The sequence below is a fragment of the Homo sapiens genome, chromosome 8, assembly GCF_000001405.40.
Source record: "Homo sapiens chromosome 8, GRCh38.p14 Primary Assembly".
In the NCBI taxonomy this organism is placed as follows: domain Eukaryota; kingdom Metazoa; phylum Chordata; class Mammalia; order Primates; family Hominidae; genus Homo; species Homo sapiens.
Window position 1 is genome coordinate 76,669 of NC_000008.11, and position 27,465 is coordinate 104,133.

The 27,465-nt window shown below is 50.3% G+C and overlaps 1 long non-coding RNA gene across 1 annotated transcript in view; it reads right to left on the reverse strand.

Annotated features, from left to right (window-relative positions):
* LOC101927506 (uncharacterized) overlaps positions 1-27,465 on the reverse strand; it is a 49,390-nt gene that overhangs the window by 12,956 nt on the left and 8,969 nt on the right. The window contains exons 2-4 of the long non-coding RNA NR_168395.1: positions 16,429-16,530; positions 9,733-9,912; positions 2,631-2,758 (exon numbers count right to left, since the gene is read on the reverse strand). This is a non-coding gene — a long non-coding RNA (uncharacterized LOC101927506). The remainder of the gene's footprint in view (positions 1-2,630; positions 2,759-9,732; positions 9,913-16,428; positions 16,531-27,465) is intronic.

The following is a 27,465-nucleotide window of genomic DNA, read 5'->3' on the forward strand; positions in this document are numbered from 1 at the left end:
TAGATTTTAAACTCAGCACTCTCCTAGTGGGCTCCTTAAAAATATTTTTGTTTGGGAGGACAAAGTAGGAGGATTCCTTGAGCCCGGGAGCTTGAGGCTGCAGTGAGATAGTGCCACTGCACTCCAGCCTGAGCAACAGAGAGATACACTGGCTCTAAATATAAATAATATAAATATATATTTATGGAATAAATAAATGAATAAAATATCTTTGCATGCTGGTGAGCCCAGGGTACAGTCTGCCCTTGGCAGCTCGGTGACTCAGCCAAGGCGGCTGAACAATCCTCGCCCACTAGACAGTGGAGGTCGCCCTCCAGAGGACCTTATCAGATGTACGTGCAAAGCAGTTTTCAAGACAGTTTTCTATTCAGAGTGTGGTTTAGCCGTTCAGGGAGAGAGATCACAAAGGAAAACCACCTTTAGGAAAGCAGGTGAGAAAGGTGTAAGTTCCCAGGCTTGGGGGTCCTGGCCCAGCCTAGCTGTGGGCAACCCCGGGAAGGCTGAGCCCCGCAGGCTGTATGGACAAAGCATCTCGCTTTCCACACTGGCCACAGGTCTATCCCTGGCAGTAAACAGGTCACAGGTGGGCAGGAGGTCTAACACCTGTAGCGAAAGAACGCAGGAAAGGAACTGAGGCTCTGCTACCAGCAGATGCTCCAAGCACATCCCACGGGGAGGACCATGCACAACTCAGCTGGCCACAACCAGGAAAAGGGTGCCCAGGGCCTCAGAGCTGCTTCAGTGGGGCCATTTCCAGGCTCCCAAGCAGTAAGGTGGGTGCCCTCTCAAGAACAGAAGCGGAACAGCCTAACGCTAATGTTTGGGAAGAAGAGAACAGTGATCCCCCTGGTTACCTCCCATCTCTCTCTGCAGTTCTCATGCATCTGTGCACACACGCTCACACACACATATGTCCATCAATCCACTCACAATGTTTGACTTAAAGCAGAAACCATATAAAGGGCAGGATAAGGAGAAAAGATGAAAGGAACTGAAAAGATGCAAACAGCCACTAACACGCCAATTTGCACCTTGCACAGGGCCTGGGAAGTAATGGCACGGCTTCTCGTTATGCATCAACGATCTCATGTTTTCATTTTAACAAACACCCTAATACAAAAATATGCTTTATAGGGAGGAGAGAAAATATGTTTTATAGGGAGGAGAGAAAAGCCATTCTGAAGAGCTGGATAGGTTGCCTTTGGCCCACATGGAGTCAGCCCCCTGCTCACGCCACCAGGCTCACGTTCAGGGCCCTCGCTGGAGAAACCTGAGCTGCAGGACCCGCTGCCCACCAATGCAGAAGAGAAGGCAGTATGCTTTTTGCATTGGGTGGAACAAAAACAGAAGAAATGGGAATTTGGTGAGAAATAAGGGAGGTGGTCCTCAGAATCTGCAGAGCAGTGGCTTCCAAACTGTGTGATGCAACCCCAGCCAGAAAAACACTTTACATCATGGCTGAGGGCACATACGTGCACGCACATATGCACAATACAGGAAATCTGGAATACAGAAAGCCCTGGAATTCCTAAATAACATCCTGCCCACATGGGAATTCTGCCCTAGCTGATGGCTTCTCTGAGGCCTAGGCCCACATCCACACCTGCTGTTTAGCCCAGAGCCAAGCCTGGGGGTGTAGGGTCCCCTATGCATGGGTGTCCAACCCCATCCCTGTCCGGAATAGCACGGGTGCTTCTCAGTGCCACAAATGTTGGTGGCGGCTGGGGAGGAGTGGTTCCTCCAAGGCTCCACGCCTGCCTCCACCACTGAGGCCAGCACGGTGGGACTGGGCTAGGGAGACAGGCAGGCTGGCCTACCCACTGAAGGAGCCAGTCTGCTTCCACCTAGTCAGCAGCTCCAGGGAGCGCATCTCCCTCCAGGAAGGGCAGGAGGCCAAGAGGAGCTGGAAAGGTGGGCATTTGATATCATGAGGTATAAAGAGAGCTCCTAGGGGTCCCAGACATCAACTAATAAAAGCACCTCAGAAGTTCATAGATGGGGAAATAGCTGTGTGAATATACCGTGTTATCCAAGTCATGCGGAGAGGAAGGGCTCGAACCCATGGCTACTACTCCCCACCCCCGTCCTCCTCCTCCTCTTTCCATTAAGTTTTTGTGATTATGAAAGTAGCTTACATTTGGTGTAGAAAATATGGAACATATGGAAAAATTTAAAAAGACTCAGGCAAAGGGTCATGTGTCACTTATGACCAGAGGCCGTTGCTCTTTATTAACAGATGGAAATGTTTTCTTCCAAATTGTGCTGCACGTTTTTGGCGAGAGCATGGGGCTGTGCGGCGTCCCCTCCCTGGCGCCCACCTGTGCCCTGCACACTGGCCTGCACTGTGGTGATCTCGCTTGGCCCCCACCTGATTCCCGACATACAGCAGAGGAACCTTAGGCTCAGGTGGAACAGCCTCAACTGATTCAGTCCCTGAACTTCCGTACACAGCCCTGGAGTCGTCTTAGAGCCATGATTTATTTAACTGTTCTTTCATTTTACAGAACATAAAATGTATTGTTTCCAACTTTTTTCCTATGGTAAATAATACTAAAGTAAATATCTCTGTGCATGAATCTTTTTGTATATGTTGGAATATCCTTAAGATAAGGCCCCAGAACTAAAAGTACCCTGTCAAAGGGTGAGCATTTCCGGTTCCCCTGCTGTGCTTTGCTGCGTTGTTCTCCCCTGCTGCAACGTTCTCACTCCACAATCCTGGGGCAGGTAGGGGAGGCCCAGCTGAGTTTGGATCATAATCCTGAAAGACACAATCCCAAGCACCATAATGTGGAATGTTGAAATCCCTAAAGATCAAAATCCCTCAAGTCTAAAATCCCTGATATTTCAGATGACCACAGCTATAGGGCTAGGTGCACACAATTAGTAACCGTAGTGATATACGTGTACACGTTTCTCTTTTGACTTATTTCTTTATGGTCTGTCTTCTTATAACTGCTACACCCATGCTACCGTCATTAGTTACCTCAGTGTTTATGCAAAAATACCTGTTATCGTTGCCTATTTTATTGTGTAAAGTGGCCTATGAAATGTTCTGTTGTGTTTTTATGTTTCTCAAATACATACCTTTTAAAAATGTAAATAAATAACATCGACATTATTTTTTCCAGATTTATACTTTTGGGATTTTGATCTTTGGGATTTCAGGATGAGGTATTTGGAGCTGTGTCTTTGGGGATGATGACTGGCTCCTGTGCCGTCCCACCCATCTTTGCGGCATGGGACCTTGGCATCCCCACCTCGGCCCTGGCTCTACCTGCCCTCACAATGGACCAGGCCAACTCAGTCAATGTGGAGGCAGCATCAGGTAGACCTGGGGCTGAAACTCAACACTGGTGTTCACCTTGACCTAGCTTCTCTGAGCCTCAAGGTCCTCATCTGGACACCAGTGGGGTTAGGGGCTGAGGCACATCAGCACTAAGCAGGAGAGCTCATCGTTGCCATGCATCAGCTGTGGCTCTAGAGCCGAGACGCTCCCAGCTGTGTAGGCTTCCCAGCAGTGCAGACCCCTCTCTAGAGCCGAGATGCTCCCGGCAGTGCAGGCCCCTCTCTAGAGCCGAGACGCTCCCAGCCGTGTAGGCCCCTCTAGAGCCAAGACGCTGCAGGGTTAATCAGGGCTGCCCAACAGTCCATCCCCTCTTCTCTCTCTGAAATCAAGAAACATTCCGAATTCCAAAATGCAACTGGTCCCAAGTGTTTCAGTTAAGGGACTGTGGCCCTGTGTAATGCCAGGCAGTGACAAGGACTGTGACTGGGAGCCATCGTAAGTCGATGCTGAGTGCCAAAGGGAGGAAAGGAGGCAGCGGTCCTTAAAGGGCCCACTGAGCTCAGATCCCACGCCTGAGCCTCCGCCTTTCCGTGCAGTCCCGGAGATGGCACACAGCCTTCTGCACGAACCGCAATGAGCTGGGCTCCCTCATCACCGCTAGGAGCACTCTGAGAAAGCAGGGCCCATTCCACGGGGTTCTGCAGGAGAACGGCGAAGGGTGCTGTTCAACCTGCTCAGTCAGTTGCTAGGTGAGGAGAATTTAGTATTCATAAGTGAAAATTTCTAAGTTACTGGAATTAATTATGGGGTTTGATTCTACATCATCCAGAAAAGCCTGGATGCCACACAGACTCAATGCTGAAAGCTCCCAGTGCACCTGCACAAACACACCCACACATGCACCCATATCATATACACACGTGCAAACATGTTCACATTCACACTCACTCCTACATACTCGGATCATATACACATTTGTGCACACGTGTTCATATTCACACTCCTACACACCCAGATCATACACACATACACACACTTGTGCATACACATTCATGCTCACTCCCACACACCCAGATCATATACACACTCGTGCACACATGCTCACATTCACAATCACTCATACCCAGATCATACACACTTATGCACACATTCACACTCACTTATACATACACAGATCATATACATACTTGCGCATACGTGTTCGTATTCACACTCCTACACACCCAGATCATACACACATATACACACTTGTGCATACACATTCATGCTCACTCCTACACACCCAGATCATATATACACTCGTGCGCACATGTTCACATTCATGCTCACTCATACACACCGATTGTACACTCGTGCACACATTCACACTCATACACACCCAAATCATACATTCATGCACACATGTTCACACTCATGCTCACTCATACACACCCAGATCATATATACACTCGTGCACACATGTTCACATTCACACTCATACACAGCCCAAAATAATATACACATTAATGCACACAATACATATTCATACTTGCACACACCCAAATCATATACCCACTCACACACACATGTTCACATTCACACTCATACACACTCAGATCATAAATACATATGTACACATTCACATTCATACCCCCAAATCATACGCACACTAGTGTATACATGTACACACTCACACACACAAATCATACACACTCATACACACAGTCATACACACTCACACATACCCCCAAATCATATACACACTCATGCACACCGTCACACATATAATCCAAACACACAAAAATATATGCATGCGCTCATTCACATACAATCTCACACATACATATACAGCCATGTGGGATTTTTCTGCCATTTTCAGAAATGTAAATTTTGTAGTTCCTGCTTTTTAAAGACTATAAATTATTTTTAATTTACCTTCATTCTCAATTTTGTTTGTTATAAGTAGCTTGATTGTCATACAGCATCCAACGACGCATATTTCCTTTATTTTTTTTGAGATGGAGTCTTGCTCTGTCACCCAGGCTGGAGTGCAGGGGTGCGATCTCGGCTCACTGCAACCTCTGCCTCCCGGGTTCAAGTGATTCTCCTGCCTCAGCCTCCCGAGTAGCTGGGATTACAGATGCCCATCACCACGCCCAGCTAATTTTTGTATTCTTAGTAGAGACGGGGTTTCACCATGTTGGCTAGGCTGGTCTTGAACTCCTGACCTCATGATCCACCTGCCTCGGCCTCCCAAAGTGCTGGGATTACAGGTGCGAGCCACCGTGCTCTGCATATTTTCATGTTAAAAATGTTTTATTTAAAAAAAAAAAAAAAGATGTCCAGAAGAGTTGCAAAGACAGTACTGCAACTTCCCACAGACCCGTTCACCAGCTTCCTCTCACTTGAGCATCTTACACAGCAATGAGGCACGTGTGGAAACTGCGACACTCCCATGGGTGCCATCTCAGCAGCTCACGGTGTGGAAACTGCGACACTCACACGGGTGCCATCTCAGCAGCTCACGGTGTGGAAACTGCGACACTCACACGGGTGCCATCTCAGCAGCTCACGGTGTGGAAACTGCGACACTCACACGGGTGCCATCTCAGCAGCTCACGGTGTGGAAACTGCGACACTCACACGGGTGCCGTCTCAGCAGCTCACGGTGTGGAAACTGCGACACTCACGCGGGTGCCGTCTCAGCAGCTCACGGTGTGGAAACTGCGACACTCACGCGGGTGCCGTCTCAGCAGCTCACGGTGTGGAAACTGCGACACTCACGCGGGTGCCGTCTCAGCAGCTCACGGTGTGGAAACTGCGACACTCACGCGGGTGCCGTCTCAGCAGCTCACGGTGTGGAAACTGCGACACTCACGCGGGTGCCGTCTCAGCAGCTCACGGTGTGGAAACTGCGACACTCACGCGGGTGCCGTCTCAGCAGCTCACGGTGTGGAAACTGCGACACTCACGCGGGTGCCGTCTCAGCAGCTCACGGTGTGGAAACTGCGACACTCACGCGGGTGCCGTCTCAGCAGCTCACGGTGTGGAAACTGCGACACTCACGCGGGTGCCGTCTCAGCAGCTCACGGTGTGGAAACTGCGACACTCACGCGGGTGCCGTCTCAGCAGCTCACGGTGTGGAAACTGCGACACTCACGCGGGTGCCGTCTCAGCAGCTCACGGTGTGGAAACTGCGACACTCACGCGGGTGCCGTCTCAGCAGCTCACGGTGTGGAAACTGCGACACTCACGCGGGTGCCGTCTCAGCAGCTCACGGTGTGGAAACTGCGACACTCACGCGGGTGCCGTCTCAGCAGCTCACGGTGTGGAAACTGCGACACTCACGCGGGTGCCGTCTCAGCAGCTCACGGTGTGGAAACTGCGACACTCACGCGGGTGCCGTCTCAGCAGCTCACGGTGTGGAAACTGCGACACTCACGCGGGTGCCGTCTCAGCAGCTCACGGTGTGGAAACTGCGACACTCACGCGGGTGCCGTCTCAGCAGCTCACGGTGTGGAAACTGCGACACTCACGCGGGTGCCGTCTCAGCAGCTCACGTCCAGGACCCCAGGCTGCACTGGCCCTCACGCCTCCTTAGTCCCCTGCACCTGTGACCCTTTCCTGGCCTGTCTTCGCTTCACCGCCTTGACAGCTTTGCAGAGTACTGCTCAGGTACTTTGCAAGATGCCCCTCAATTGGTGTTTGTGTGATGTTCTCTCTGATTACATTGGAACTGTGCGTTTGCGGAAGAACACGGCGGGGGGGGCGGCGCTCTTCTCATCACGTGCTCTCAGGGGCCACGATGTCAACATGCCTCATCACTGGTGGTCTGGACCTTGATCACACGGCCAAGGTGAGGCCTGCCAGGTCTCCCCACGGGAGAGTGACTGTTTTCCTCTCCATGTCCTGCTGGTTAAGAGTGAGTCATGAAGTCCAGCATGAGCTCCAACTCCTACAGGAAGGAGCATCAAAGAATTTGGGCACCGCGGTAATTACTGAACATTTAGGGGAGACACTTTGACAGTATACAAATATCTTCTTTCTCCTTAAACTTTGCACAGGAATTTTAGCATTCCTCAGGGGAGCTTGCCTGCAGCACTGATGGTGATTTTCTTTTTTTTCTTTTCTTTTCTTTCTTTCTTTCTTTTTTTTGAGACAGAGTTTTGCTCTTATTGCCCAGGCTGGAGTGCAGTGGCACAATCTCAGCTCACTGCAACCTCCCGGGTTCAAGCGATTCTCCTGCCTCAGCCTCCCAAGTAGCTGAGATTACAGGCATGTGTCACCAGGCCCAGCTAATTTTGTATTTTTTTGTAGAGACAGGGTTTCACAATGTTGGCTAGGCTGGTCTCGAACTCCTGACCTCAGGTGATCCACCTGCCTCAGCCTCCCGAAGTGTTGAGATTACAGGCACGAGCCACTGTGCCCAGCCTGATGGTGATTTTCCCTATTTACTCCACATTTCTTGTTTGGAATTTGTTCCAAGAAAGGCCTGTCCCTTTCAGTTTTTTGTTTTGTTTTGTTTTGTTTTGTTTTGTTTTGTTTTTGAGACAGAGTCTTGCTCTGTCACCCCAGCTGGAGTGCATTGGCGTGATCTTGGCTCACTGCAAGCTCCACCTCCCGGGCTCACACCATTCTCCTGCCTCAGCCTCCCGAGTAGCTGGGACTACAGGCGCTCGCCACCTCGCCCAGCTACCCTTTCAGTTTTAATTTATTCAATAATTTATTTATATGCTTACGAATCCATGGACATTCATTTTATTCTTTGGGGCATAATCCGATTTGTGTGTGTGTGTGTGTATGTCTGTGTGAGTGTGTGTGCACTCAAATCATTGTAGCTGTGGCCACTGGGAGCTCTTACATTTTGGGTTCCATGCCCTTTTGAAATGCCCACAGCTTTTTAAAAATTTTATTTTTGAGCATTTTCTTACTTCCTGGGACTACAAGATGCTCCAGGTTCATCTTGTATTTTCTCTCCCACATCCCAATTATCAGCCATTTCTCCAGGGAGACTTGGCTCCTTTTATTGAAGATGAAATTTAGAAACTAACATCTGGGCATGGAATGTGCTTGCTGCTACTGGGGTGTCCCCTCTCAAAGGACAAACCCAGGATCTACAGATGTGTGTGCTAAGCCATGTATGCACACGCACGTGTGTGTGTATATATTTAACCTATCTGTATATATGTATTATGTAAACATGAGTTCCTGCTGGCATATCTGACTATAACTGACCACCTCAGGGTCCATTCTGATCTGTATATATGTATCATGTAAACACGACTTCCTACTGGCATATCTGACTGTAACCAACCACCTCAGGGTCCATTCTGATCTGTATATATGTATCATGTAAACATGATTTCCTACTGGCATATCTGACTATAACTGACCACCTCAGGGTTCATTCCGATCTGTATATAAGTATCATGTAAACACGAGTTCCTGCTGGCATATCTGACTGTAACCGACCACCTCAGGGTCCATTCTGATCTGTATATATGTATCATGTAAACACGAGTTCCTGCTGGCATATCTGACTATAACCGACCACCTCAGGGTCCATTCTGATCTGTATATATGTATCATGTAAACATGAGTTCCTACTGGCATATCTGACTATAACTGACCACCTCAGGGTCCATTCTGATCTGTATGTATGTATCATGTAAACACGAGTTCCTACTGGCATATCTGACTATAACTGACCACCTCAGGGTCCATTCCGATCTGTATATAAGTATCATGTAAACACGAGTTCCTGCTGGCATATCTGACTGTAACCGACCACCTCAGGGTCCATTCTGATCTGTATATATGTATCATGTAAACACGAGTTCCTGCTGGCATATCTGACTATAACTGACCACCTCAGGGTCCATTCTGATCTGTATATATGTATAATATATATTATATATGGACCTCAGGGTCCATTCTGATCTGCATATATGTATAATATATATTATATATGGACCTCAGGGTCCATTCTGATCTGTATATATGTATCATGTAAACATGAGTTCCTGCTGGCATATCTGTCTATAACCGACCACCTTAGGGTCCATTCTGATCTGTATATATGTATAATATATATTATATATGGTCCTCAGGGTCCATTCTGATCTGTATATATGTATCATGTAAACATGAGTTCCTGCTGGCATATCTGTCTATAACCGACCACCTTAGGGTCCATTCTGATCTGTATATATGTATAATATATATTATATATGGACCTCAGGGTCCCCGCTGGCTTTTCCATGACTTCCTTATCCAGCTGTGAGAACCCTGACTCTTACTACTGTATTGACTTATTTGTGAAACCTTAGTATATATAAAAGTAGTTTCAAAGTTGCTAACATGTATTGCTGTGGGAAACAATTTTACCAATTGGAGTTTAGTGCTTAGATATGCAGAGTTATTTGATTCTTTCCAGAATCTAATCAAAACACTGTTTTTGGACTTACCCAGGTCAGCTCCTTTCTGCCCACTCTTTCAGCGCAGGCGTGTCCTGCTGTGGAACACACTCTGGGATTCCTGTGTGGGTCTGTACCCATCCTGTACCCGTCAGGACCCCCGGGCCCTGACTCTTGATGTTGTTCTTGCTCCTCTTGTTGATCTTGTTGTTCCCACAGTGAGGTCCAGTCCTGTGGGGTTTGACAAACACAGCATCACGTACCCAGCTCTGTAGAGCCACACAGAAGACTTTCATCCCTCAAAAATGGCCCCAGTTCGGCCCCTCGGTAGTAAACTCCTCTCCCCTCACTCACCCACTGGCAAATACTGATCTGTTTCTGTCCCGATAATTGTGTCTTTCCATATACACAAAAGTGAAGTCTGAGGGTGAGGCCCATGGCCTTGGGAAGCAGGCATAAGTTGGGGGGGGTGGGCATACAGGGTCACCGCGGAAGAAGATCCATGCTGCCCACACAGCCACATGTGGGACAGGGCAGGACCAGCCCCCCAAGCTGTGAACCTCGCCCGAGGCTATGCCCCACTCTGGAGCAGAACGGCCTCTGCAGAGCTTCCACCATGCACATGGGGAGTGCACAGCCAGGCCAGGAAGGGGAGGGCCCCTGTCTGCAGAGACAGGCCCATCCTGGACAGGAGGGAACAGCATTCCAGGCAGATCCGCCACTGGCTGCTGTTCCCAGAGTGGCTGTGTCCCCTCTGCAGCGTCCATGCCCAGCCGGCCTCCCCTGCCTCCCTCTGCAGCTGTCCACGCCCAGCCAGCCTCCCTGCCTCCCTCTGCAGCTGTCGCTCTCCACCCTCCTCTCCTTTCTTCTCTCCATCCCCCCTCCATCCCCGTCTCCTTTCTCCTCTCCATCCCCCTCTCCATCCCCCTCTCCATCTCCCTCTCCTTTCTCCTCTCCACCCCCTCTTCTTTCTCCTCTCCATCCCCCTCTCCTTTCTCCCTCTCCATCTCCCTCTCCTTTCTCCTCTCTAGCCCCCTCTCCTTTCTCCTCTCTATCCCCCTCTCCTTTCTCCCTCTCCATCCCCCTCTCCTTTCTCCTCTCCATCCCCCTCTCCTTTCTCCCTCTCCATCCCCCTCTCCTTTCTTCATGGCTCTTTCCCTTTCCTGCCACAACTGAACTGAGTGCAGGTGATTTTCGCTGCCTGCTGGCTTTATTCAGCTTCAACTTCTTGACTTTAAAGGTGGATGCAGGAAATGTGTGTCTTGTGTCACACATGGAAATGTTGCTGAAATAAGTTACTCTTCACTGATGTGGCCTCGAGGGTTTTCTGCTGGGTTTCTGGACCTTGTAAGCAAAGCAGACCCTCACCCGACTGACCTCCTGGCTGTGACGATGTGTGTTTCTATCCCACACAGGGAGGGTGTTTATGGTCTGAAGTGAGGCCTCTCATTAACTCCTCAAGAGTCGATTGAAGCACAATTTATTAGAGCCCAGAAATCATGGCAATCCATTCCCACAAGCACACAGCACAGCTAAACCAGCTCCAAGGAGGGTCCGAGTGTCCACAACTGCACCCCAGGCCCATTGTGCCTGCCGCTGGAGAGTGTGGGGCCCCTTGGCCCCTAAAGGTTTGCTGAGAAGTCACTGACATGAGACAGATGGATTAATAGGAGAAACGGTATGCAAATTTATGTGATGTGTACATATAAGAACCTTTAGAACGAAGACCCAACGATGGGGGAAATTGTCCATTTTTATGTTTAGGTTTAATAACGTATGAACAGTCCTCTAAAAAAAGGATTGGACACAAAGGGCTTGATCTAATGTGAATAGACTGAGTGGGAACCCAGCAAGGTCTGTCTAGATTTGTCTTCGTCTCTGAGCATTTTCTTCTCTGGACGTGGGGCAGGGCCCTCTCTGGAATGACAGTCTCATGACCTACAGTCAAACAAGGGATATTGGATCATTTCTCTCTAGTCAGCTCTTATATAGAAAGGTAGACGGAACACTGAGTAATATTTTTAGGTTTTCTGACCAGCTTTGGGGAGAAGGGGTTCTGATTTCTGTGACCGGCCTTGGGGAAAAAGAGAGTCTGGTTTCTACAGCGCCTTCGGGGAGAATGAGACTGAGAGACAGGAGGGCAGGAGAAGGTCAGAGACAACTTTTGCTTCTGAGGCTGCTGCTGAGGACTTCATTTTGGGGCGTTGTTTTCTGAGCCCCAACAGAAGGAAGGAAGCCTCTCCCTCCAGGGGTCAGTCCTGGGCCTCAAGGGCACCCTCGAAGCAGGCAGCTCAGCTCACAGAGCTCCCCTCGGCCATGTCCTCCACCTGCCCTTCCTTGGTCCAGCACCTCACCTGCACACACCTGTCTGGAGAGTCCCCAAGGTTGGAGAGCTGCTGAGTCAGCTGGGCCGAGCACACAGCGCAATACTTCCTTGTGCCTCCTAACCAGGATGGGCGACACCAGCCCATTTTATGGATGGGACAAGAAGAAGCTGGGCTGACAAGCCCAACATAGTGGAGCCAGCAACAGGCTTTTACTCTCCTCTCTGTCTCTTTGTCTCTCTCCCCCACCGCACCTCCATCCGCTCCATTCTCCTCTCTGCACATCAGCTTCCCAGACAATATTCTTGGTTTCTGTGGCTCCCAAACTGAAGCTTCCCCACAGTGGCTGCAACTATCCAGACCTGGGGCCACACTTGGGCCTCCAGGCAGGGGATCTAGTGATCACATTCTGGTCATGTCATCAGGCCAACTTGGCTGAGCTCTGCCCTCCTTATCTCTCCTCTCCCCTCGAGCCCTCACCCTGGTTACCTGCACAAGTAAACTTGCCCCTAACTGACCCCCTTTTCTCCCTCCATGTCCCTCAATACAACACTAACTCTGGCAAAAAAGACCAGCCTGGCCAGGTGCGGTGGCTCACGCCTGTAATCCCAGCACTTTGGGAGGCCGAGGCGGGCAGATCACAAGGTCAGGACATCAAGACCATCCTGGCTAACACGGTGAAACCCCGTCTCTACTAAAAATACAAAAAATTAGCCAGGCATGGTGGCAGGCACCTGTAGTCCCAGCTACGCGCGAGGCTGAGGCAGGAGAATGGCGTGAACCCGGGAGGCGGTGCTTGCAGTGAGCCGAGATCGCGCCACTGCACTCCAGCCTGGGCGACAGCGAGACTCCGTCTCAAAAAAAAAAAAAAAAAAAGACCAGCCTGAAGCAGAGATTGGGTCCCAGCCTGGCTCTGCCTGGCCCTCTGCTCCCGCTTCACCTCACAGACAGAACGCTGCCTTGTGGAGGGGTCCCCCGACCCTTTGGTGGGTGCCAAGCGGGTATGGAGGCCAAGGCCTGAGTGGTGAGAATAGTCCAGGGGCTAGCGCTGCGTGGGGAGGGCGAGCTCAGAGAGCAGGGGAGCCTGACCCTGCAGGTCAAGACTTCTGTCTGAGAGAAATGAAAAGCTGGGGATTTTAAGCAAAGGAATGCCTTGACCCAACCCTCACAACTTACATAATAATTAACTTAAAAGGAATCATAAGTTTAAACAGAAAATCTATATAAGAGGTTTACAGTTTAATTTAAAAACTATAATAGGTTTATAGTTTTTAAATTAAAATTTTAAATATAGTGGTTTATAAAACTTTGAGAAGAAAACTTAAAATCCCTATGAATGCTGCAAAAGTCACTGTTGAGAGAATGAAAACACAAGACATAGAGTTGGAGAAAATATTTGTGAATCTCATATCTGGCAAAGGAATTGTATCTAGAATACATAAAGAACTCTCAAAATCCAACAGTAAAAACACCAAATAATCCAGTTACAAACCGGGGAAGGACTTGAACAGATGCGTCACCAAGCAAGGGATATGGATGGGAAATAAGCTTCCATCAGCCACCAGGGAGATGCAAATTACAGCCACTAGGAAACCTTTTCATTCATTCCGGGATGGCTGAAATGTAAGCACGGAAAATGCTGGGTGCCCGCAAGAACGCGGAGCAGCAGGCACTCATTCCCGATTAGCGGGAGCGCAAAGCGAAGGGGCGGCCTGCGACGTTTTCCTGTAAAGTTGGGCACACGCTTCCCACATGACTCAGCAATTGCACTTCTGGGTATGTACCCGAGAGAAACAAAAGCTTATGTTCACACAAAAACCTACAACGCAAATGCACAAACAGCTCTATCCAACAACCATCCCACCCTGGAAGCAACCCAAACACGCTTCAGCGGCACAGGCGCCTCCACGCGGAACCCCACGCGGCGCTCAGCACGGACGAGGAGGGAGCCGCGCACGCGCGGTCGGCTCGGCGAGGAGCCGGTCTCCAAGTGCCGCCAGCTGCGGGATTTCCTCTGCAAAAGACAAACCACAGGGAGAGCTGCCGGGGCTGGGTCGGGGAGTGTGACTGTGAACGGAGTTCTGGGGGTGATGTAACTGTTCTGTATCCACAGTGTTGCTACATGAATCTATAAATGTGTTAAACTCATAGAACTGTACACCAAAAAATAGCAGTTTTGCTGAATGTTAATTCAGAAATGAAATTAAAATTTTAAATTAACAACAAGCAACTTTACAAGAGAAAAAAAAAAACCTCATTTCCTCCCCACAAAGCCACCTCATGAGCCTGGGTGGTGCCTAGCCAGTCCTGCTGCTGAACCTGCTCTGACCTGGCCTAAGGGTAGGACTCGAGGCTGGGAGCCAAGGGCCAACCACAGGACAGGCAGCAAGACCCGCTTCGCTGGTCTGTCACACACACCGCACCAAGTCGGTGTTCAGGATAAACCGGGGCACACTCTGAGCTGGGCCTGTCTCCGGCTTCAACCAAAAAGCCTGAGCTCTGGCAGGTGAAGGACCAGACGTTTCTGTGGGGCTATGGACTTGTCTGGGAGGCAGCCACCTCTAAGCCACCCAGGATGGTTTCGGTTGTGTTTGGATGGAGTTCTGAGTTTTGCCAGTTAAAATTCCCCCTTCAGGAGCTCTCTATGGGGGTAAAGTGCAAGATTTGGGGTAGAAAAATGACAAGTCAGAGGACTGGAAGGAACATTATGGACTGTCCTCCCTTCTGCCTGAAGAGATGGGGAGACTCTCCCAGGCCATGTGGAAGACCTCACAGGGGGACCAACTGCTGCCTTTCAGCCTGGCCGAGGGAAGAGCCCCTGACTCAGCCTCCGCAGGAGGAGGTGGGCTGGAACCAAGTTTCCCTGCATCAATCCAGGCAGGCAGCCCCGAACAGTGCACTCCAACATGGGATAGTGAGCCAGCTTGGGGGACAGCAGCTGTCTAAACAGGAGCATGCAACCCCCGTGCTGAGAGTTCCCCAGGGTCACGACTACCCAGAGTCAGAGCTGCCCAGGGTCACAGCTACTCGAGGTCAGAGCTGCCCCAGATCAGGGCTGCCCAAGGTCAGAGCTGTCCTGGGTCAGAGCTGCCCATGGTCAGAGCTGTCCTGGGCATCAGAGGCGCAGAGGTGGGAAGGGCTGGCTTCAGGTGGGAGTTATAGGTGGGAGTTATGCTACAAAGGGTCTTGAAGGCCAGTGTTGTTGACAGGGTAGGGTGCCTGGGTAATAGCAGAGGAAGAAAAAGGCTTAGAGTTGGAGGGAAAAACATGAACTGGAGTTGGGGGAGTGCACCTTCCCCCTCAGAGACCACAAAGCCTCCCCAGGGCTGGGCTGTGGCTGCTGGAGCTCCCAGACCATGCCAAGTGTCAGAGCCTGGGCAAGACCCTCTGGGGCAGCCCGGAACCACCAGAGGTCAGAGCTGGAGGAGGCTCAGCTGGGGCCCTTGCACCAGGCAGGAGGCCCAGAAAAGAGACAGTGCTCTTGAACTGCAGGAAGGCAGCTCCGTAGAGAGGCAAATCTCACTCCAGCTCGGGCAATACTCAACTACACGGACGTGGATGCTCTCAAGGGGGCTTTGGGGCATGTGGTGTCGGCATTGGACCCAAATATGGGCTCAAAGCTTTCCTTTACCATATTCCTTCTACATTTTTCTTGCAGATTGAGAAGGGATAGGGAGGAGTTTAGGGAAGTGAGTGAAGCAGGAAGATGTTGACCAAGGGAAGTTAATTCCATAAAGAGGAGGATGAGGGGACAGAAAGGCAGGAGGAAGAGGAGGAGGAGAATCTTCGCACAGGGGGTGTCAGCTGATGGGGGCAGCATGGGCGCCCATGGAGCCCTTTAGGGGTCGTTGGTTGTGTGCAGAGAGGCCACAGCAGGCGAGGCAGGCAGTGTCTACCACCCCCAAGGAGACACCAAGAATCCCTGTCCTTAGGAAGTCCCCTCTTCCTCCTCTTGAGTCTCATCTCGGAAAGAGGGAGCTGTCAGTCAGAGCTCAGGCCAAACACTGGGGCTAATAGGGGTGAGAGCAGGGACCTGTGGGGTCCTCACCGCTGTCCCCTTCTCACCTTTCTGGCTCAGGCCAGGCTCAGCCCCCAGTGGTCTATTGTCTTTCTATCTGTCATCTATCTACCTACCCACCTATCTAACCATGCCATCTATTTCATCTATTTTTATCTATCAACCATCTATCATATATCTACCTACCTACCTTTCCATCTATCATCTAGTTCATCTATTGCTATCTATTATCTAATTTGCCTATCAAGTATCTATCCATCATCTATTTCTGTCATCTATCCATCACCTGTTACCTATCACCCATATACCACCTATCCCTATCTATCATCTATCTAGCCAGCAATCCACCCATCATCTACTTCATCTATTTCTACCCGTCTCCCACCCCCTCTCCCCACCCCTCACCAGAGAGTATGCAAGCACGACCACGTCAACAGGCCCTGAAGTCACAGGTTCACACAGCACGTTTTCTGCTCCATCACGTGTATGGGGCAGGGGGCAGCAGAGCTGGGGGAGAAGAGATAAAGGAATTATGTCAAACAGGGACTGTCTTGTCTGCCCCAAGGGCCTTTCCTCATCTATAAAGCAGATTTTTCTTGTAGAGCACCACGAGAGCTGTGAAATGGGAGTGAGGGGTGAGGCAGGCCATGGGGCCTTCCACAAGGTGGGCAAGATGGTTGTCTCTGGGGAACCAGCTGGCCAGAGGGGGCCAAGTGCCAACCGGTCTGGATGAGAGCAAAGCAGCAGGCAGAAGGTTACAGAGGCAAGTGTCGGCACCAGGGGTGAACGCTGGGATTTTTCAAATCCAAGAGGCATTTCAAGTAAGGGGAAAACCTCCCCCGGGGCTGGGCTGAGAAGCTAGTCGGGTGATGGGATGAGTGAGAATGACAAGTTGCGTCTGATTGTCCTGGAGACCTGGCTGAGAACTCTGTGTGAGTCTCTTAGGTAGACGGTTACACTTGTTTTCAGTGAGAGTCAGTTTCCATAGAGAACTGCATGGTAGTCACCAAGAACCGAGGGGGCCCAGGAATGCCCCAGCAGTGGTCTGGAAGGGCTTGTGGGGCTGGGCAGGAGGTGGGTGGGGACCGGGTGCAGGCAGAGGGAATTCAAGGGTACAGAGGCAGAGAGATGGTGCCGCCTGGGGAACGCAGCGCACCCAGGACAGAACAGGCCTGAGAGCCACACACACTCACAGCGGCTTCCCAGAGTGTTTGTTTTCTATGCACCAAGATGCTCCCCCAAACCCTCTGCAGCCTGTTCCCTGCCTTGGGGGTCCTGAGGGCCACCCTTCGGGTATGGGGTTCAGGTCGCTATTCCTTTCTCGATGCCCCTGGTGTGTCCATGGGATGAGCTGACTGGCCCACCTAGTGGGAGCCTGTGCACCACGGTTCGTGTGGCCCAGGGGAGGAGGTTTTGCCTTTCCTGGACCCCACTTTATGAAAGGAAAGCCTGAACCCCTGGGCCAGCTAGGGGAGTGAGCTAGGGTGGAGGGCAGTGCTGGTCATGGAGGGCAGTGTCCAGCCCTCTGCTCACCAGCTCCAAGAGTGATTCTGGAAACGGAGCCCAGTCCCTGGGCCCAAACCTTTGCCTCTGCCCTTCTTTCTCTCTACAAATTAGAGGCCACATCCCTGGCCGCTGAAGCCTTGTACCCTGACCCACTGTCTGAACCTGATGGAGTCTAAATGCAGTGAGCGGGTGCCAGCCTTCCCTGGAGCTCTGCAGAGGCAAGGAGGGGGTGGATGGAAAGACGGGAGTCCCTCCCCTTAGGTGAGGGGGGGAACTAGGGCCCGGGGAGATGCCCAGGCCTGGCGGCCGGCGCACGCGGGTTCTCTGTGGCCAGCAGGCGGCGCTGCAGGAGAGGAGATGCCCAGGCCAGGCGGCCGGCGCACGTGGGTTCTCTGTGGCCAGCAGGCGGCGCTGCAGGAGAGGAGATGCCCAGGCCTGGCGGCCGGCACACGTGGGTTCTCTGTGGCCAGCAGGCGGCGCTGCAGGAGAGGAGATGCCCAGGCCTGGCGGCCGGCGCACGCGGGTTCTCTGTGGCCAGCAGGCGGCGCTGCAGGAGAGGAGATGCCCAGGCCTGGCGGCTGGCGCACGTGGGCTCTCTGTGGCCAGCAGGCGGCGCTGCAGGAGAGCTCAGGAGCAGGGGCCTGGGCCTGCTCCGGGGGAATCCGCCCACCCCACCGCGGCGGCCTCTCCTGAGGTTCCCTAGTGGCCGCGAAGGGTGGGCTCAGGGTGAGGGGTCAGGCCACACCAGTGGGTGCAGGGATGGCTGCGGCCACGGGAGGGCGTCCAGGGAGGAGGCCGGAGCTCAGGCCCACTCTGCACACCCAGCCCGCCACCTCCCCCGGCTCTCTCTTCCTTCGTGCACATTCTGGGGCTCATGCTTCTGCTGTGGTCCCATTTAGCCAACCTGGCCAGCCTTTCATGCCTGCTTCATGGGTGAGACGTGGAGGCCAGGTCAGCCGCAGAGCCCGGGGCACACGCCGCAGCCAGCACAGCAGCAGGTGGGCGTCTGCGGCCGGGGCCAGCGCGGGGCCCACTGGGCCTCGGAGGGGCCTCCCTGCCGACTCTGCCCCCGTCCTGTGGCCGTAAGTCCACCCAGAGCGCTCGATCTTCCGTCCACCAGGCCAGGGATGCACGCAGAGTAAGGATGTGTGTGTCTACGCATGTGGGGGTGTGGGTGTGACGGGGTGTGTGCTGTGTGAGAACGTGTGTGTAGTGTTCACCTGTCCTCTGTGCGTGAGTCCCTGTGTGTGATGTTGTGTTCTCGGTGTGAGTTCATGGGTGTGACGGGGCGTGTGCTGTGTGAGAACGTGTGTGTAGTGTTCACATGTCCTCTGTGCGTGAGTCCCTGTGTGTGATGTGTTCTCGGTGTGAGTTCATGGGTGTGATGGGGTGTGCTGTGTGAGAACGTGTGTGTAGTGTCCACATGTCCTCTGTGCGTGAGTCCCTGTGTGTGATGTTGTGTTCTCGGTGTGAGTTCATGGGTGTGACGGGGCGTGTGCTGTGTGAGAACGTGTGTGTAGTGTCCACATGTCCTCTGCGCGTGAGTCCCCGTGTGTGATGTTGTGTTCTCGGTGTGAGTTCATGAGTGTGACGGGGCGTGTGCTGTGTGAGAACGTGTGTGTAGTGTCCACATGTCCTCTGTGCGTGAGTCCCTGTGTGTGATGTTGTGTTCTCGGTGTGAGTTCATGGGTGTGACGGGGTGTGCTGTGTGAGAACGTGTGTGTAGTGTCCACATGTCCTCTGTGCGTGAGTCCCTGTGTGTGATGTTGTGTTCTCGGTGTGAGTTCATGGGTGTGACGGGGTGTGCTGTGTGAGAACGTGTGTGTAGTGTCCACATGTCCTCTGTGCGTGAGTCCCTGTGTGTGATGTGTTCTCGGTGTGAGTTCATGGGTGTGACGGGGTGTGCTGTGTGAGAACGTGTGTGTAGTGTTCACATGTCCTCTGTGCGTGAGTCCCTGTGTGTGATGTTGTGTTCTCGGTGTGAGTTCATGGGTGTGACGGGGCGTGTGCTGTGTGAGAACATGTGTGTAGTGTTCACATGTCCTCTGTGCGTGAGTCCCTATGTGTGATGCCCGTGTTCTCAGTGTGAGTTCATATGTGTGACAGGGTGTGCTGTGTGAGAACGTGTGTGTAGTGTTCATATGTTCTCAGTGTGAGTTCATGTGTGTGACGGGGTGTGCTGTGTGAGAACCCGTGTGCAGTGAGATCTTCCCCAAAGGTAGTTCAAAGCTGGGGCCCTTTCATTTGCCAGGATCTAACCCAGCTACTCAGGAGGCTGAGGCAGGAGGATCACTTTAGGCCAGGATTTTGAGAGCAGCCTGGACAATATAGTGAGACCCTGTCTCTACAAAAAAATTTTAAAAATTAGCCGAATGTGGTGGGGCATGCCTGTAGTCCCAGCTACTCCGGAGGCTGAGGTGGGAGGATTGCTTGAGCCCAGGAGTTTGAGGTTATAGTGAGTAGTGATGGCATCCCTGCCCTCTATCCTGGACGACAGACCAAGAGTCCAGCCCTAAAAAAAAAATTTAATTAAAAATTTTTAAATCTTTAAAAATTAAAAATCTTAAATTTTTCTTTAAGATTTATAAGAGGACTCAGTAAAGGCTGTGCTGGCAATAACATCAAACTACTGAATTCTTTGAGAACTCCTTGGAGATTATTATTTTGCATGACATAACTAAATATCTTAATGATTGACTTAATTACTTAGATGTCAGTCTGTATGTTTTTGGTGTCGTAAGTACAAAGCTTAGAACTGTTACTTTTAGGGCCAGGAGCAGTGGCTAACGCCTGTAATCACAACACTTTGGGAGGCTCAGTCAGGCGGATCACCTGAGGTCAGGAGTTTGAAACCAGCCTGCCCAACATGGTGAAACCCCGTCTCTACTAAAAATACAAAAATTAGCCAGGCATGGTGGCAGGCACCTGTAATCCCAGCTACTTGGGAGGCTGAGGCAGGAGAATCTCTTGAACCCAGGAGGTGGAGCTTGCAGCGAGCCGAGATTGTGCCATTGCACTCCAGACTGGGCGACCAGAGCGAAACTCCGTCTCAAAAAAGAAAAAAAAAATTACTTTTAAAACCAAGTACTAGCTCATCTCTAAGTAATACTATTTAAGTAGGCAAAAGCCCCTGGAGGTCGCCTGAACTTTTTATACTCTTAGCTGAGGGGACAGAAGAGAAATGATATGACATTTACAGAAACCCCTATGTGGCCTGGCCTCATTGGAATTTTTTCTGTTAGTTAAATAAAGACCATTTGTTTCTATTGATTAAAAACAAAATTATTCATATAATGGGTTCAAGAAAACAAATTATTTCCCTAATGGACAGTGTAGGTCAGGACTAGAAGCAAACAAGGATCTTCTATCCCTCACACATCTCAACACTCAAGCAAAAACTCAAAGAAAACAATGATACTGATGGCCACGTCATGCACCGTGCTCACACAAGGATGCCAAGAGGCTTCATATGTGTTCCTTACCTGGACCCTTTTCACTGGATCAGAAACATGGATGTCTTAGTCTGATAGGCATCCTCTGCTAATGCATTTTAAATGATTGAATCAATAATTTGATGGGCCACTTTTTATAAGATGCTACGATACCCTATGAAGCACTATTAAAATATTCATTTTTCTGCACACCAGATGTGGCCCAATTGTTAATAACCAATATGGTTCTCTGGCAAAAGGAGCAAAGGCAGCCCTCTAAGATATTCCTCACTGATATTCCATTTTTCAGTGGGTAGGGAGACATGAGTAGGAAGCAAATCTGGGTCCCTGCACCCACGATCTTGGTGCCATCAAAGTGCCGCTGCTGGCAGGTTCCTGGGCACCATCTGAGACCAACCCCACTGTGAGGTTGAAGGAGGCTGATCAGAACAGTGGTCCTCCACCTCCTCCCTGACACCTTGGGAAGATGACTTCCCAAGTCATCTTCTATTTATGTGGTCTTATTCCCATAACTGGGGCCAGATGATCCCACCCTGGGAAGACTGGGGAAATACCCAGAATGCTGACCTGAAAGTCCAATTTTCCCAATGTTTCTACTGTTCCCATGTCAAAAGTCTTTGGGCAAAATCTCCCAGGCTTGAGAGATTTCAATCCAGCCTGGATCACCTCTCCACTTCCTCCATCCCAGAGTTAAATTAAAAATCCCATCTGCTGTCAATGAGGAGTCCCTTCAGGCCCTAAAGTTTAGGAAGAGGAATCCCTATCTTGTCTTCTTCACTGTCATCCCAGCACATCAGTTACTTAAAACAACCCAATTTCAAGAACTGATAGACCTTCATTTCTGGACACACCAAAAACAAGCAAATTCCAGAGGATCAGCTTCAGGGTGGCAGAATGGAAGGAGTAAAAGCCAACCACGGGGCCAGGTGCAGTGGCTCACGCCTGTAATCCCAGCACTTTGGGAGGCTGAGGTGGGCAGGTCACCTGAGGTCAGGAGTTCAAGACCAGCCTGGTCAACATGGTGAAACCCCGTCTCTATTAAAAACACAAAATATTAGCCAGGCATGGTGGCGGGCGCTGGTAGTCCCAGCTACTCGGGAGGCTGAGGCTGGAGAATCACTTGAACCCAGGAGGCGGAGATTGTGGTGAGCCAAGATTGCACCACTGCACTCCAGCCTGGGTGGCGAGTGAAACTCCATCTGAAATAACAACAACAAAAAGCCAACCATGGGATCTGTGGCACAGCTCTCACTTCACCATTAGCTCAGCCAGGACTGGCAAGGGAGTGCCGACTGGAGAATCTTATCCTCTGTTCCTTAGCTGTTTAGATGTATAAAGCCTGAGGGCTTGGCACCTAATTAGGGTTTCAGAGCTTTGTTTTTCTCTCATCTAATTACATTTGCCCTGTGGGGAAGAGCCTCTGTCCAGGAGGCATTGCTCTCTGAAAATCTGTCTCAGCCCAACAACAGGTGCGAGAAGGTGAGCAGCTCCTCTCCCCACCAATGCGGTGAGATGCTGAGCCAGGCCCTGGCTTCTTCTTCCTCCTCTCCTTTCATTATCTCTAACTCCAGTGTCAGCCCTCAAGCAGTCCCCTGCTTTGTCACCCCTGGCAAGGTGGGGAATGTTCTCTTAACCTGCAGCTTTCTCCTTCGGGAACAAAGCGCAGCCTCTTAGCAGCTAGCAATCAACTCCTGTGCTCGGGGCCTTCCAGCCAGACCTTCTGCAGTACACCCTGGTAGGGGGTAAATTATCCTGAGCTTGGAAAATGTGACTGAAATCACCTCCGACAGAGGGAAATGGGTTTTCATAAAAGACGTTTCCTCACCTTCGGTTGCAACTCAATTCAACTGACCATTTCCCACCCTGGATCTCAAAAGAAATTTCTGCTTTGCTTCTGGGTATGAGCCTGGGTGATAATGAAAGGTACTTAGGAAGCCAGGCCTATTGAAGCAGCGTAGCCCTCAGAGGGGCATGGCTGACTTGGCTAAGAGTAGGACAGGGTGTGGGGTTGAGGAATCCATGGGGACTCAGGGCATCCTGTCGCAGACACAGGAGCTGACCCAGCCACAGGGTCACAGGACAGCCTGTGTCACCACAGTCTCTGTGCAGAGTCCAGAGTTCACAAATGAGATAAATGGACATTTGCTGACTGGGGTAACTCAGCATCTATTCACCCTATTTCTGGGAAAAGCCTCAATTTACATGTGGGAATGGACCACCCCCTTATTGTTATAGGAGTTATTAAGAAATTATTTTAGGCAGATAGAGAGGAAAAGAGGTCCTTGGGAAGTTTTTGTTTATTTTAAAGCAGATCCAGAAACCTTTCTTGTCTAACAGGAGAGCGCCAGCTCTAAGAGCCACTGGCAAGCTTTGATATGCAAACGCAGGCCACTGGAAACTGAGTCCACCCAAACATGGAGATTCCAGGTTTCTTCCTTGCCCCAACAGGTGGCTGGCAACATGGCCGCCCCCACATATCCCCACGTGTGTAGAACATCATGGCGCCCTGCATTTGCATCTTAAAAGGCTAGACTGTGAGGGCCAGCTTTTTCGCAGGCTATGTGAATGACCTGCCTGGTCAAACCAATCCTCTGAGCCCTATGCAAGCCAGCACCGCCTCCTCCAGCCTCCTCATATAACTAGCTGATTACACCACACACACGCCCTCCCCCCACATCCCTTCTCCCCACCGGGGTTTTCTCTCTGTTCAAATCCCCTCTCCCTCTGTCTCTGTACTGGGGAGCTGTTTTCTTCTTCCTTCCTTCTTTCTTGTATATTAAACTTTTCGCTCCTTAAAACCACTCCAGGTGTGTCTGTGTCATTTTATCCAAGTGTGTGCTAGACCAAGAACCCTGGTGCTCCTCCAGTCATCTGAGCCATATCATTATCTCATTCTGTTTTTGATGGCACTAACCACCAGCATACCCTGCTCCATCAGAACACTCATCCTCCTGAGCTCTGTGAATGGCTCAGGATGCACAAGTGAGAGAAAAATGTAGCCAAGTGAGGAGGCAGAGAGAAACTGCCTCCTGGTAACACAGTGTGCACCCCTGGATCAAGCCACGCCTGAAGGCAGTTTATTCTGAACTTTTACAATAAGTGCTCTTTTTGTTTAAATCACTTTGGATTGGGTTTTTGTTCACTTGTAAGCAAAAGCACACTATGATAAAAGGGGATACAAGACAAGTATCACAAATCCAGAAATGAGAAGGGCCCAACCCCAGAGCCCAGGCCAGTCAGGGAAGTGAAGAAACAGACAGCATCTGAGATGCCTATGCCCAGTATCCAGGGGCTAGGTCCATGGCCTTTGAGCCTTAAGATGCAGGAGATCCCTGTGGGGAACTTCACAACAGCGTAGATTCCCACTCATTCCCACAGCCAATTCTCATCCTTCAGTCTGGAAGGGGAACCAGAGGTTTGGTTTTTAACCAATATCCAGGCAATTTGGAAGCAGATAACACAGAGAATACTTTGAGAAACACTTCCCTACACTCTGAGCTGGGAGTTAAAGGACAGGGTTCCAGTCTCTGCGGTGAGGCAGTGGCAAGAGCTCCGTGGGCGGGAAGAATATTAGGCCAGAGCTTAGAACAGGACTGCAGAAGCAAGCATGGAATGGAAGCACATCTGGTGATCTGTGACATACAACGAGCCTGCAGATCACAGGCAATGATTTTTGGAAACTCATCACACAGTAGTTTGAAGCAGCAGGAACGATTTCATCCAAAGTGCCATGAGAACACTTCCGAGTCTACAAATGCTTTCATAGGTCAATCTAAGCTGTTCCTCCCAACCAACCTGTCTGGCAATTAGAAATTAGGAAATTAAAACTCAGAGTGTCTAAATAGCATGCACAAAGCCACACAGCTCACTGGTTCAGTAGCCTAGACCTGGGTCCCAGTCTGTCTGACACCAAAACCCACACTTTTCAAATAATTCTCCCTTCCACCGGGGGAAGGGCTGGGTCTCAGGAAAGGTCTAAGGGACACACAGTGCGGGGATCAGTGAGACCCTACTCAGCAGGCCCAGATGAGGGAAGGGGGTGCTCCATCTGACTGCACAGGAAGGCAAGGCCATTTTAACTTTGCAGCATCTTCAACTCATCTGGCTCAAGAAATCCCAGCCCAGCTTGGGGATGGAGAGTGGAGGAACACAGGGGCACCCTTGCAAGTGAAGACTAAGCTCTGATTTTTTTTTTTTATCTTACCCAAATTCCCTATCTAAAGGGTCTGGGGAGTGATGTCCTACAAACCATAAATTCTCATCAGATGGATTTTATTTAACCCTATATATTGTGACTTACTTTCCAAACTGACTCTGTCATAACATTATGAGACAAGGAAGAAAATCAAAATATTTTACCCCAAAACATAGGCTTTTTTGTCCATATCTTGAAATGGCCCTGCAAAGCTGTCCTTTGTGGGGGAAAATTTGTATCTGTAAAGAATCTCTATTAACATAGCTAGATATTTTTCTTCCAGGCCCTCCCAATCCTAAAGAGATTAACTGAAAGTCTAGCACTTTGTTTTTTTTTGTTTGAGACGGAGTCTCACTCTGTCGCCCAGGCTGGAGTGCAGTGACATGATCTCGGCTCACTGCAACCTCTGCCTCCCGGGTTCCAGCGATTCTCCTGCTTCAGCCTCCTGAGTAGCTGGGACTACAGACGCCCACCACCACACACAGCTAATTTTTATATTTTTAGTAGAAATGAGGTTTCACCACATTGGCCAGGATGGTCTCAAACTCCTGCCCTTCTGATCCACACCCACCTGGGCCTCCCAAAGTGCTGGGATTACAGGCATGAGCCACCGTGCCTGGCCAAGTCTAGCACCTTTTAAAGATCTGAATAGGAAACATTTGCCATCTATTGTCTCTGAGGACAGCCTCTATAAGACTTCAAAAGAACCTTGGTCTCCACCATCTTTTATCTTAACTTGAAAATTTCCTTTCTATGGATCCCAGGTCTTTAGACAAACTCACTGAGATTTACCTATAGCCTGGAAGCGCCCCTCTCCTCCTGCTTTGGTCCCACCTTTCTGGACCAAACCAGTGTATTTCTTAAATGTACTTGATCGATGTCTCATGCCTTTCTAAAATGCATAAAACCAAGCTGTACCCCGACCACCTTGGACACATGTTCTCAGGACCTCCTGAGGGCTATGGCAAGGGCCGTGGTCACTCATATTTGGCTCAGAATACATCTCTTCAAATATTTTACTGAGTTTGACTCTTTCCATCTACAGGAGCAATGGAAATGATTTTCTTTGATCACAGTGTCAGCTCCTGACATTGGGTTGCGCCCATCTGTGCTGCGGACTCTTCCCTCGGAATGAGAGAGGGAGATGGCTCCCAGTGTGGTTGGAAGTCACCCCGCCCCACAACAACACAGTGCAACAGGCCCCAGCTTCACGCCCATTCAGTTCAGGACAAGTTTTTTGGAGCATCTACTCTGGGCCAGGCCCGTAGGATACTAAGATGAAATAGAGACAGTTCCTGCCTTTGAAGGGTGGTGATTTACCGGTGGGGAGAAAGGAAGAGGCCCATGAAAAGTCGTGTCTGTAGAAGGTAAGAAGGGGCACAACCGCCATGGCAGGGGAGTCACAAAGGAGAAGCATTCAGCCTGCCGAGAGTTCCCAGGAATTTCCTGGAGGATCAGTCCCCAAACTGACTGTGACAGGGAGCTATACCCAGATAACAGCAGAGGCCCAGAATAAGAAAGAGTCTGTGAGTGGGCAGAATTCCCTCCAGGGTCATGAGGGGAGCTGACTTCTGATTAGGGCATTTCATCCTTCTCTGAAATGCAGCTGAGAACTGGTCAGCCTCACTCCCTTGCTGAGACCAATAGCAATCCCTGATGATCTCGCCACAGGTCCAGCAGGTGCCCCATCCACACTTTGTCCCCAGCCCCTACCAGGAAGCTCCAAACACCTACCTGAGGGGCCAACTCTGATTCCCAAGGAGGTGACACCTCCTGCCTCTTGTTGATAGAACATTGATAAGGAAATAGGACTGAGTTTTAAGCTTCTTTCCATGTCAAATATTTAAAGGCAATATAATGTTCACGTTTAAATAATATTTCATGTGTAATTAAACAATCCCTTATTGTTAAATAGATGGGTTCCAATTTTGAACTGCTATAATCTGTGTATGTGTCCTTGATTAAATCCTTAAGAGAAATCCCTAGAAACATTATCTTAGGGTCAAATGGCTTGGATATTCTGTAAACTGCTGATAATTATGGGAAATTGCCTTCCAGGAAGGTTATAACAATTTGCCTGATCCCCAGCAGCAACAGACTTTACAAAGTACTCAGTATCTAATATTTAACTTTGATAAAGATAAGCTTCTCCCTTCTTTTTCACTTAAAATGCTGTGTCCCACCTCACTTTTCAGTGTCTCTTCACACTGACTAGACGGTTGGCTAATACTTCAGAGCTTGCAGAGCATCTTTATACACTTTTAATCCTCCTAACAACCGTGAGAGATG